This window comes from Homo sapiens, chromosome 3 (genome assembly GCF_000001405.40).
Source record: "Homo sapiens chromosome 3, GRCh38.p14 Primary Assembly".
NCBI classification, from domain to species: Eukaryota; Metazoa; Chordata; class Mammalia; order Primates; family Hominidae; genus Homo; species Homo sapiens.
In genome coordinates, this window is record NC_000003.12 from 73,394,845 (window position 1) to 73,407,834 (window position 12,990).

General features: G+C 42.1%; 1 protein-coding gene across 6 annotated transcripts in view; it reads right to left on the reverse strand.

Annotated features, from left to right (window-relative positions):
- Positions 1 to 12,990, reverse strand: part of PDZRN3 (PDZ domain containing ring finger 3) — a 242,511-nt gene that overhangs the window by 12,414 nt on the left and 217,107 nt on the right. For all 6 annotated transcript variants that reach the window (XM_017005942.3, NM_015009.3, NM_001303139.2 and 3 more), the window contains 2 exons: positions 9,304 to 9,551; positions 6,078 to 6,165 (listed from right to left, as the gene is read on the reverse strand). In XM_017005942.3, the coding sequence (XP_016861431.1) occupies positions 6,078 to 6,165; positions 9,304 to 9,551 (336 nt within the window). The remainder of the gene's footprint in view (positions 1 to 6,077; positions 6,166 to 9,303; positions 9,552 to 12,990) is intronic.

Genomic DNA, 12,990 nt, shown 5'->3' on the forward strand with positions numbered 1-12,990 from the left:
TCAGAAGCTCTTGAAAAACAACAGTGTAAGAGCTGGTATTGCCTCTGGATCTGTACGGATTTATGGTTTACCTTGTTTTCTTATAAAGATTACAGTAAGGCAATAGTAGCTGAATGATGAATTGTGCAATGAAAGCAGTGTCTAGATTTGTATGCTGTGCACAGTAGGTGCTCAATAAAATTGAATGAATGAGCTTGAGAGTCCAAGGCAGGATGATCCAAATGAAAAACCAGTTTGGCTCCATCTGTAATGAGGGAGGTTGCCTTGAGCAAGTCATTGAACTTCGACAAACTTAGCCATTCTGTGGTTTTAAAACAAAATACAGTATTTTGGGGCTCAGTGGAAAGTAAAATTCCTCAAACTTACTGGGTGGTTTGTAAATTCTCAGCATTTCTGTGTGACTCTCATCTAGTTTTACACAATTAAGCATATTGCTGAAAGCATAGAAGTTATCAATATGTTATCTGTCTGTGATGGAGATAAGATTTCAAAGAAGACTATTAATCAAACTGGTATGAATAATGTAGTAGCATTATCTGGATTACAGCTACCCCTGTTACTGGTATCTTGTTGCTTACTGGTCTAGATGGACTGTTGATAAAAATGAACAGTTAAGCCTGACATTTCAGAGGAAATTGAAACGATATTCCAATGAAGAGTATTAAGAGGGCCATTCCACCTTGTTGATTCAAACTCTCTGTTGCAGCATCAGCTACCTTAATTAAAGGGGATCTCAAAGACTAATTTCAATGCTTTATCCACCTCCAGGAAGACTGGCCACTAAAGCATAACTCTTCAACTTACTGGTCCAGGTTGCTGTGCACATTTAAGTTATCTCAACAGTTTCTGTATCTAGTCATGGTGCTATGTGGGATACAGAAATATCTTTAAAGACTGCATTTTCCCTCAAGGACCTTATGTTTGAGATAGGGTAACAAGGCATTTTATTCCTTCATTCAAAAAATATTTCCTGGGTGCCTACTATATGCCAGACATGGTCTAGGCAAAAGGAATATACAGTAAATGAGTTAGACAAGAGTCCAGCTCTTAGGGAGCTTGTATTCTAGTGGGGAAGAAAGACAAGAAGTAAATAATGGGCCGGGTGCAGTGGCTCATACCTGTAATCCCAGCACTTTGGGAGGCCATTGCAGACAGATCACTTGAGGTCAGGAGTTTGAGACCAGCCTGGCCGACAAGGCGAAACCCTGTCTCTACTAAAAATACAAAAATTAGCCAGGTATGGTGGCACATACCTGTAATCCCAGCTACTTGGGAAGCTGAGGCAGGTGAATTGCTTGAACCTAGGCGGCTGCGGTGAGCCAAGACTGCACCACTGCACTCCAGCCTGGACGACAGCAAGACGCAGTCTCAAAACAAACAAAAAAAAAAGTAAATAATAGTACTGGTGGCATAGGGATGCTTCAGAGAGTAGCCAGGGAAGATCCTCTGGAGAGATGACATTTGGGAAAAGATTGAGGCATGTAACGATCTGGGGCACTGCCACGCAGGCCGAGGTAGGTCCTGGTTTGCAGGCATAGTACAAAAAATGGCAAAGACCCTGATTACACAGGAAAAGTAATGAGGAAGCCACTTCAATCCAGGATGGGGCTGACCAGGAAAGGTTCCCTAGATCTATTCCTTGTCCTGTGCCTCAAAGGCTAAAGAAAAAAATTCTAGACTGGCTGGGGCATCCTGCATAATCTCCAGGTCAATCCTGGTTCCCTTCTGATATACTTAGCTTCCTCTATGAAACCAGGTTTGGAGAGCATTTTAGTCTCCTATTGAAATTGTAGTTTTCCTTTCCTTTCTGGTCTCAGAATTACATCCTGAGAATACAATACAGGTGACACATCCTGAGAATACAATACAGGTGACAGCAGTTTCGCAGCCTACATAGGATGCTACTGATGAATCGCCTGGGAAATTAAAACAATAGACAAAAGGAAAAGCCTTCTTTGGGCATGTATTTTCTTTCTTAATTGCCTACAGGAAGATGTAGAGCAGGTGTTCAGTGCCTGAAAATTTATGGGTAATTATTTGTCTGCTCAACCCTAGGGTACACTGGGTGTAATCCCTTTAACTCTAAGCAGTCTCATAATAACAGAGATTTGACACTTACCTAAATATGATCATTTTGTGTACTTTAAAAGGGAGAACATCTGTTTTTCTTTTATTTCTTTCTTCTTTTTCTTTCTTTTTTTTTTTTTGAGACAGAGTCTTGCTCTGTTGCCCAGGCTGGAGTGCGGTGGCACAATCTTGGCTCAATGCAACCTCCGCCTCCTGGGTTTAAGCAATTCTCCTGCCTCAGCCTCCCGAGTAGCTGGGATTACAGGTGTGAGCCACTGCGTCTGGCCAGAACCATCTGTTTTTCTCTGTGCATTTGCTTTAATAATATCTCAACACACTCATACATATTTTCCTCGTATATAATATCCATGGAACTAGCTGTTCTTTGGAAGGCGCTGACTTTAGTCCAATTCAATTTAGATGATAAGTGGTCTGTTGAGATTGGCCCCTTACTTAAATAACAGCCTGATTTTTCTAAAATTGAACCCAAGAGTTAGAACAAAACAGGATGGAATCTAGAAGGCAGACTGCGACTGTTCTAAGAAATCTCGTGTAGAAGCAGGGATGACAGGCATGTGCCAGTCTCCCTGAAAACTGGGCCCACTTGAGGAAACTCATTTCTCAGCATGCGGGGTTTATTAATTAACCTTCTTGAACTGACTGACCAGAGAGACACACCTCTGAAACAGAGCAATGCTGGAGGCGCAGCTACTGTTCTCTAGTGGAGAGACCCTTCTGGTGAGTGGCTGCAGTAGGCCTTAGCTGATATGTTCCTAGCCTAGGAGGCCTGAGCCATCACCACCACAGGACTGAGGACGACATCTGTCCAAAACTGCCAGGTTCACTTTATGAGAAGGTACTTAGGTAAGAGAAATGACCTGGTGACATCTGAGTTGCTGTGGACAAAATGTTAAAGCAAGACTTCCTGGCTGCTATGGACTCAGAGTACTCTAGGGTAACCATTCAAAGGGGCTAGAGATGGAGAATGCCCTTATTCTGGTTGTTTAAGAAGAAACGAAAAGCTAATGTCTAATGGTCCTAATGGCTTGTGAGCTCCTTAAGGGCAGGCAGAGTGGTGACTTCGTGATTTTGCATTTCTAGGGCCAAACAGTATATTTAATGTAAGAGACAATAAAATGAACAGAATTGAAAATAAACACGAATATAAAGTCTGATGGCATCCAAGGTCTAGCTTAAAATATTAATACCAGACTAGTTTTCTAAACACCTGCGTTGTGTCTGCTTTTATTCATGAAAAGAGAGAAGCAGTCTTAGGAACACAGTGTCACATGCCTACGAGGGGCTCAGTCGTTCCTAGGCCCTGATAATGTTACACTGCAGGGACAGTGTGGACAATATTCGTGACTTGGCGGCACATCTCGACACTGCAGTGAATGAAAGGCACCACAAAAGCCTCGCTGGTGTGACTCAAGAGAACAAGAGGAAATGATAGCTTGGGCTGCTTTATCTGGGTCTGTGGCCTGTAGGTCAGGGGTCCTCTGGCTTTAATGGGCACCGAGGTACCTAGGAACCTTGTTAAAGTGCAGATTCTGATTCTGAAGATCTAGGGGGCCAAGTTTCTGTAGTTCCCACATCTCCTAGGTGAGAACTCTACTTTGACCAGCCAGGCTGCTGGTCCTCCTACCACACTTTGAACAACAGGGTTCTAGGGAACAGTTTCTGAGTGGCTCCCTCCTGCTGAAAGCAGGATGCTCTCAGGTGCTTCATGCTTTGAGGAGAAAGACTCAGTCTGGGCTAGTCTTAACACTTCTTTAATACTAGCTAATCTCCTTAGAGAAAAGGCAGGATGTAGTGGCCCCAGGCTCCCAACCCTCAGCAGGCACCCTTATTGAGCACCAGGATTTAATAAATAACACTGGCTTGTGTCCACTGTATTTAATTGTATGGGATTTTCTATTTAAGGCAATGGATGCTGACTTTCTGCTTGACGCAGTGGTATAGTGTTTCCTTTAAAATAAAATTACCGTAGTTTAAATAAGTTGAGTCGAATTAAAGAGAAATAGAAAGCACGTAAGAGTTCTGGTGATAGTCAGGTATAAGGAAAAACTGTAAGGCAGAATGGCCCAAATTGGGCAGATACTGTGGGGGCTCAGTGAATCTCCTGAAACCATATGCAAGCTCTCACAGACAGGAGCATTTTTCCAGAGCGGGGGGCTGTAGGTTCCATCAGATTCTCAAAGGTATTAGAAACTAAAAAAAGAACTAAAGAACCCACTGCTACAAAGTCAAGTTTAACTAAATACCAAAGACTACAAAGTCTCTACTACTTCATAACTCTAGCTTCTGAAACACTTTACAGCTTTTTAAAAGAACTCTACTTTGCCACAATTACATCATCAAAAAGCAGTGTCGTCCCATAAAGATTACGAAATAGCCCTCTGTTTGGAGAGCAGTGTTTCTCCAACAGTGTTCCAGAGAACTGTAGACTGAGGAAATATAAACAGGTACTTGGCCAGAGAGGTGGGGGAAATTCTGCCCACTCCCCCAGGGGATTCTAGGTAGATAGTCAAGATTCTCAGAAGTCCTCCAAGAAATCTGTTTCGTTGTCTTCAGTCTGGCATTTCCCAAATGTATTTCATTATGAACCCCCTTTGGAAGGAACATACATAACAAATTAAGGAACAAGTGTCCTGAAGGAGTCACGGCTGCTTCACCAAACAGCCCTGAAGCTGGGGTGATAGGACACTAAATAAGAGGCAGAATCCTGATTTTTGAAAATGACAAAACTACATTTTCTGGAACAATTGTTAAATGGCAAGCGCTTTGGTAAGTGGCTGACAGCAAGCAGAAACAGTCAAGTTTTTATAGTGAGAATACTGGCCATTGCTGTTTAGACCAGGTGCATTTAGGGAAAATTTTAAATTTCTGAAAACTGGCACAGAGTCAGTCATGCCACTGGCAACAAGTCCTTTGATTTGACTGTATCTGGCTAACCATCAGTGAAGTCATCGTTTGCACACAATTATTGATTTTTAACTTCTGTCTTGGAATGAGAACTCTTGGTAACTTTAAGTTGAGGAACATAGCTGTTTTCTACTATTTGACTGCTTCTGTCCTTGCACAGAACCTACTGCCACTGAACAATTCAACTTCAGAAGTATTGGTAGGACAGCATAGATTACACAACAGTTAGCCATGAAATTGGATAAAATGTTCGATTTTTCCTGGGTGACCTTTTGATGGTACCCAAGGGCTTACCTGTCAACATCAGGTGTCTTTTTACCTTATTCCATAAAATCAGCTTTCAAAAATGCTGTTATATTTTTTGAAACCCCATTGAAATATAAAAGTGTTTTCCCCAAAATATAAATATATTATACAAGTTAGTGTTTTCTGTATTTTCTATCACCCTTAATAAAAGGAAAATGGGAAGTAGAACTCTGTTGGCAACCTGGTGTCCTCTAAATATTTTAAACCTTAACAGAGACCTATTTGACATTATGTAGCATCTTGAATCTTTATTCCTGTGTGGCCTCAAATAACACTTAAGAAGAGTTGCAGACTTGTTTAATTTCTTCTGTATCAATGTTAGCAAACTTGAAGCAAGTGAAGCAGTGAACAAACCCTTTTGTTAGGGCGGGCTAGCATTCACTCAAGTAATTTATCCACCTACTCTTGAGCCATCTGCCTTTGAGTAAAGAGTGGTGATGACATAAAAGGGAGGAAGGTGAGGAGGCTTATGTTAGTTACAAGAATGTATGGATTATGTGGATTCAAAGGTTGACAACAGGATTTACTGTCCTAACTTTTAAGTGATTCAAATTAAAAAAAGTTTACATTTCTGCTTTTGGGACTTGATTATTAAGCTCTGTTTCCAAGGAAGGAAGAAGAATCTCAGTTGTGCCTTTCAAAGGGCATCAGTAAAAGTGGTTCTGCTTTTGTTACTTTCCATCGGCATCCGTAAACTAATTTATGCTTATAGAGAACTTATTAGGCATTCTGTGTTCTTAATAATGACTCCTAAAATGAGACAAGGATGTTCTTCATACCTCCAGCTCCAGCTCCTCCCTGTCCATCTCCTGATGGATGTCTCCAATGTAGTCATTTGGATCGTAGTATTCATGGGCTGAGGGATGCCTGAAAAGAGATGCAACATCTTTACAGCCCTTCTTCCGTTGTCAGTATCTGTTTTTCTTACACCCATTGTCAGGCCAGTGGCACAGTAGCAATTCCCAGGGTGTGGGCCCTTTCATGACTCACTTCCCTCTGGATGGGGCTCTCAGCACGGTCAGGACCTCCATCATCCTAATTTTACCATTTGCCTTTAGTACATTTCCTCCTGAAGGACTTAAGATGCAAAGTGCAAGCCTGATGGGCTTTGTTGTTTGCAGAGCCCATCCCGGAGCCTGCCAGTCACGTGATTCAGCGTGACTGATTTCTAACTCCATCTCTACGCAGGAAACAGGACAATATTTTACTGCTTATTGCTTCATTGTTAGATTTTATCTCTGCAGAGAACTAGGCTCGAGCCCAGGCAACAGTCTAAGATATGTGCTGGCCTCTGAGATCAGTTCAAAAGGCTGAGAATGAAACTGTTCTGCTGTTACCTAGGACCGTGTCTTTTTGAATGTTACCCACAATAATATGTTTGATATCACAAACGTACAGTATGCACTTACATGGTTGAAATGCACATACAAACATGTAGGCATAAGTGCATCTGTGTGTATATGTTTACATATAATGAGTACACACACATTCACTCTGCTAGGAGACTGGAAGCTTATGTTTCCCTAGGACAACATATGCAAAACACAGTCCACAGAACTCACGACATCTTTGGAAACGTCATTAATGCAACCTCAAGGAGCCAAGGCAGTGGGAATCATAACATACTCCATCAGCAGCTTTGAAAGGAGCTTAACAGTCCACGGTGCCAGATGCAAAGCTTCAGCCTCTGATTGTTGGCTGGGGACCCAAACCTTCACGTCCTCAAAGGTCAGCACAGCAATCAATGGGCTCTAGTCTTCCCTCCCAGGCACTTAGTTTTGAAACAACAGATCAGACATGAGTGGCCATTCAAACAAGGGCTGGCTTTCAATTTTCTGGACCCATCAGGCAAATATACTGCCTGCACTTAAAGGGCTTTTAGTACTGAGGATACTGTTGGAAGGTCTGGGCTTTCAAGCATCAACTTAACATTCCCCATTCAGTCCCGACACACGCTCTTGCTGTTGTCTGACCTTGCAGCCAGAACCTGAAGAGGCCTGACCTCTGGACTCTTCTGACATTTCTCAAGTCGCCCCCAGGGGATAAGTCATGTCATGTTAACTAGACCTAAGAGGAAATTACAGGTTTAGCTTCTAAAAGGCCCATCACTGTGACAGGTCAACATTTAAGAGTCAGAAGTAGCCTTAAAGGCTTCATCAATAATGTGAGGCAGTTTGGTCTGTAACGTCAGATAAATGGTCTGGATCATCATACTCAGTGAATCAGCCAGTTGTTCCAGAGGATGGAATGGGTCACTACAGGGTACTGTGGTTCAGAGCTGGGAGTCGGGGTCTGACTGACCTGCCTTTCCATCAGCTCAGTGGAACCTGGTGAGTCTGCAGTTCCTCATCTGTATAAAGGGACAGTCATGAGAAATGAAGGAGATAGATAATAGTTCTTTGCACATGTGCACACTGTGAGTGAATGTGAGACGGATGCCCTGTCCTCTGTCTTTATGCTACCAGCTGCTGCCAAACCTACTCTGTCAAGCCTGGGGAATTAGTCCTGGGTTCCAATGACAGCTAGCCACTAAGACCAAGGGATGAAGGGCAAGCCTTTATCCAGAACTTGACTGAACCATAGGAAACATGTGCTCACTCCAGCTACTGAGTTACTAGTAGGAATCCAACAGGTATTACCCAGTGGATTCTCCTGTAAGAGGTGAAAATGCCCTTTGAAATAATGTATCAAGTCAATGATCTGATCCGAGATGGAGCTGAGATGAGAAAACACAGGGGCGACCCTAACATCAGCTGGAGAGGCTGTGTCCTCAGATGTGCAAAGTCACACATGAAAAGCTTTTTTTTTTTTTTTTTTTTGAGACGGAGTCTCGCTCTGTTGCCCAGGCTGGAGTGCAGTGGCATGATCTCGGCTCACTGCAAGCTCCGCCTCCCGGGTTCACGCCATTCTCCTGCCTCAGCCTCCCGAGTAGCTGGGACTACAGGTGACCGCCACCACACCTGGCTAATTGTTTTTTGTATTTTTAGTAGAGACGGGGTTTCACCGTGTTAACCAGGATGGTCTCAATCTCCTGAACTTGTGATCCACCTGCCTCGGCCTCCCGAAGTGCTGGGATTACAGGTGTGAGCCACCACGCCTGGCCTTGAAAAGCTATGTTAAAAGCTATGTCGAACTGGACACCTTGGGGGCCAGCAGTCTATCACAGAAAGTGTCTTGCTCTTCATTTTTTCCTGAATATTTTACATCACCCACTAAATTAACGGTGATCGCTGGTACCATTTACTGAGTGCTTACCATATGCCCCATGAGCACTTCCCACATATTGTTTCATTTAATCCTTCAATGATAAGAGATTGATACTGTTATCTCCATTTTAATATAGGAAAAATACAGCCCCACAAAACAAAGTAAGTTACCCAAGTTCCACAACTAGAAATCACTTTGAGCATCAGGTTTGTCTGACTTGAAGCCTCTGAAGGACTCTTTATCGCTGGCAGAAATAAGTTGAGAGAAGAGGTGTGTGTAAAGAAATCCATGTGGCGTGCTGAGTTGCAGCTGTTATTTAATTGGTTGATGCAGTACTTAGATGAGGCATGTGCGGGCTTATTACATGGATCCAGGCTTGAAATGAGACCCAAGAAAGCAGAAGGCACAACCTCCAGGGCTCTCTTGACACACACAACTTACTTTTTTGTCTATTTAAAAGAATGATCAACATTCCCTAGTAATAACTGCAGGATCTTCAAATTACCATTTGGGGTGATTACATTTTATTCTGAAACAACTTTTACAACATTTGTAAGTAATTCTGTTCTTAGGATATAATTTGAATAAGTCCGCTCCAGGGTTATAATAAAGTAATTAATATGTCGGAGCGGTTTTGAGCAGGATTCGATTTATTGCCTCTATAAACAATAAAGTTAAACATGGGCAACTTGGAGGAAAACTATAGGGTGCATTAATTTTTTTCACCACATAGAAGAGAAAGAAACCAACTTGGAAATACTTCTTAATGCATTAGGGGTTCAAGATTAGGTTACTTACTCCTCTGGCAAGAGATAGGGATCCAGCACGGGTGGGCTGGGAGAGGACATCTTAGTGAGGGCCATGATATGTTCAAAGGTGATGTCGGTTTGGGTTCCCGTGTCCACCAGCTGAGACTCTGATGGAGGCGTGAACATTTTGGTCCTTGGTGTTCTTCTCAACACCTGCACCACTATGGGCTCCTTGGCTGTCTTGAAAGCTTCCACAGCCTGGTCATGAGTTGCTCTGGATAAGTCTCTGCCGTTGACCTGTGGAAAAATATTTAGGGTGGGACAAGGTTAGAATAAAGCAGAAAACGGAAGGACAAATACATGAATTGCCTGCTTTCATGTGTAAGCAGCTAAAAGAAAGAAGCAGGTGGTGGTGTCAGAGAACTTCAGTTCTCTGTGTTTAGGTTTCCCGAAGAATGCCTGGTGGAAAGAGAGTGAGTTTGGAGGTATTCAGATCTGGCATGCAATAATAAATCTCACAGCGGGAAGGCTTAGCTTCCCCGTGGAATGTCTTTAACACAATTTCATCACTTGCTAATCTTGCCTGTGAAAGAAAAGGCCAGCCTCAGGCTCCGAGCCTTTATCAGGCAATAATAGCTAACTAGAAATTCATTACATTGTTATGTTTTAATAGTGTGTATTTTTCCAGTTTGTGTCAGATGATACCAGTCTTCCCTTCATGGAAGTAATATGAAGTTTCCTCTTAATAATCCTTTCGCTCTTTAAAAAGTCCATTGAAAATATTAAGTAAATGACAGTTCAGGCCATAGCGGCATATGGCAAGTTATTATGGAGAAGGAATTCAAATGGCCAGCGTTTGGGGGAAGTGACCGCTGGCTTAATTGCTGTTTTGGTTCCCACTGTGTGCAGTGCTTTGCTATTACTGCATCCTCAAAGCCTGCACTTATTGAGTGACTACTGTCTGCTGCATGACTTAAATGAAGATACCTCTCAACAGTTCTCTCATCATAGTCCTGTGAAGTTGGCAGGACTGAAAGTAAGATCATCTCCCTCCCTAGAGCCTCAAACCTCATGAGAGGACCTTACTAGTTTATGCTGGGTCAGAACGTTGGACGCGGTGTCCAGGATTCTCCCAAATGGTACAATCAAAACTCACTCAACCCAGCTATCTTTAGAACAGCTGACATAAGATGAAATAGAAATCAGAGTCTTATTTCTAAAAATCAAAGTCGTTCCAAGTTAGATGGAAGTCCAGTGATTTAATTTATCCTCTCTTTTCCCTTCCCCCATAAAACAAAGGAACTATGTTCAGGTGGTTATATGCAGAAAGTCTGGTAACATCTTATGATTGGACTGCATAAAATGTATCAGGCTCCACAATATTTTAATATTATAGTATTCCTCAAGTGGTTTGGTTGGTTTTTAAAAAGCAAATGTAAAATGATGGTATAGGAATCATATTCCATAGGACACATGGCTGCAGAAGTTGCTCAGCTTCTCAAAGTTTTTCTGGAGAACACTGACCCATTCAAGTCACTCCTCATAGCAATTCCTGAGTTTAAATCTCTTAGATTAATAGTCCACTCTTGCAATGTGCATGTTTTTAGCATGTATTTATAAATGTCAAAATGAACACTGAACCACAGCCTTTTCCTATTTGGCATATATACATTTTCCTCCCTTAGTATCTTGGACTTCAAAGCATGCTGACAATTAGGTCTATCCTCAGAGCACTTCAGTTTCCCTATGTCCAGGCAGAACATAAGTATTGGTTGTAAAGCTGTTTTTCTCTTTTTTTCCCCCAAACCCTTTCACTCTGGCCCTGTAGGGACAACAACTCTTAGGCTGAAGTGCGTTGTAAACAACTGTTGGGTTGAGAAATAGATGTTGAATTCTTTCCTTGTAATGAAGCCCAAATGAATCATGCCAGTGGAGGTTATTAATGATTTGGATTCAATCCACTTAAGTAATTTATTTACATCACGAGGGAGTTCGGCAGAAAAGAACTCTGGGTCACAAAATGACTTGAGTGCACCAGTAAATAAGGAACTGTCTGAACCACCAAACTTTTAAATTCCCCATCCTGGAGGACTTGGAAAGCAGGGTTTAACACTACGACTGTTGCCATGTTTCTCCCTTTGAGAAAAGAATGAAAGGACAAGAAAGAATTCTTTCTAGCTTTCTATCCCAAGTGACCTTGGTAAGTGCTTCCCTGCTTAGACCCTAGAATGCTGAGGGCTTGGCATGGGAAGGAATGGGGTGTAGATGGGGATGAAAAACAACTTGGGGTGCTGTGGAATTCATGCTGGGGCCGGACTATTTGAGCCATATCTTTCATTAAATGTGTGACACCAAGAGTCACATAATACAGGAATTTACAATGCTACAGCAAATTTGTTGCTGAGAATAAATTAATGCAACATATAGCACCCTTAGGAGGTGTGGCTGTGGTCAATACCACCCAGTCACGCTGGTCTTCTGCCCTTGGTATTCCCTGGGAATGGCTTGCACCAACGTTAGTTATACCCACAATGAATTCAGATATTAGGATTTTCGAGTGGGTGCTACAAGATGTGTCAAATTTGTTCTTCTTCTATTTAACAGTATACAAATACCAGGCCTTTTGCCAAAAAGGAATAAGAATGGGATTTTCTTACTATGGCATATTTTTCCTTTATGACTTCCTGTTCTTCTTAAGAGGAACACTAAGCTAGGTGAGGAGAGGATGGGGAATTAGAATCCAGGCATCTTCTAGTTGTGTCCAGAAAGGAACCTATGAGTTTACACTTTTTAGAGACACATAATTCTTACAAACACTAGAGCAGGCAATGTCAGCTGCCTGGGCAGCACGCACCCATCCTCACCCCAATGCTCCCTCTCTGCTAAAAGAACTCTTTGTTACCTTTCTACCAGATCCTATATCTTTCCCTCTGGGGGAGATTTGAGGTGTGGATTGTGATGGGCTCCCGCCTATCATGGTGGTCTTGGTCCTTTTGCCTCGTGATGGATTTAGACATGGGTATACAGTATAATTCTGGCTGGTTGGATGGGATGAGAGAGCTGCTAGGGAGCTCTGAGGTTTTGTCCATCCTTAAACTAGGACTAAACTAGGACATGAGATAGGAAAGGGCCATTTTTTGCCTCTAGACAAGTCATCTGCATGCTTTCTTGGACTTGTGGCAGCATCTTGGGACCATGTGGGGAGCTGGCCTCAGAGGCCAGCTTAACACACTGAGGATGGCAGAGTAGAAAAATGAGAGAATTGTGGTCCTAATAATATCACTGAATAAGTGAATTAACCAAGTTTAGAACGTCTTATCCCCAAAATTCTTGTTATATTCAATAATACATTCCTTATACTTTAGGTCATTTGACTTGGATATTAACTACCTACAGTCCAAAACATCCTAAAAAGTGTAAATATCACATAGATATATTGTAAAATTAGGCACAAATGTTTTCTCATTCATTCCTAGAGACATTCTTCTATGTGGGTAAAATAATTAGTGAAAATCCTTCTCTGATTAGGATTACATCTTAGTTCATTTTTATAGCAAGGTGATGGCAACTATTGCTTTACTTGGATACATTTTTATAAACCAAATGCTAGTACCATTGAGTGGATGTTTAAATGGTACCAAGAAAATGATGCATGAAGGACCCGCTTGGATCAGTCTAAAGCTAAAAGCATTCTTGGCTACAAAGAGCTCCTCTGTGTTGAGGCATACTCAATTAC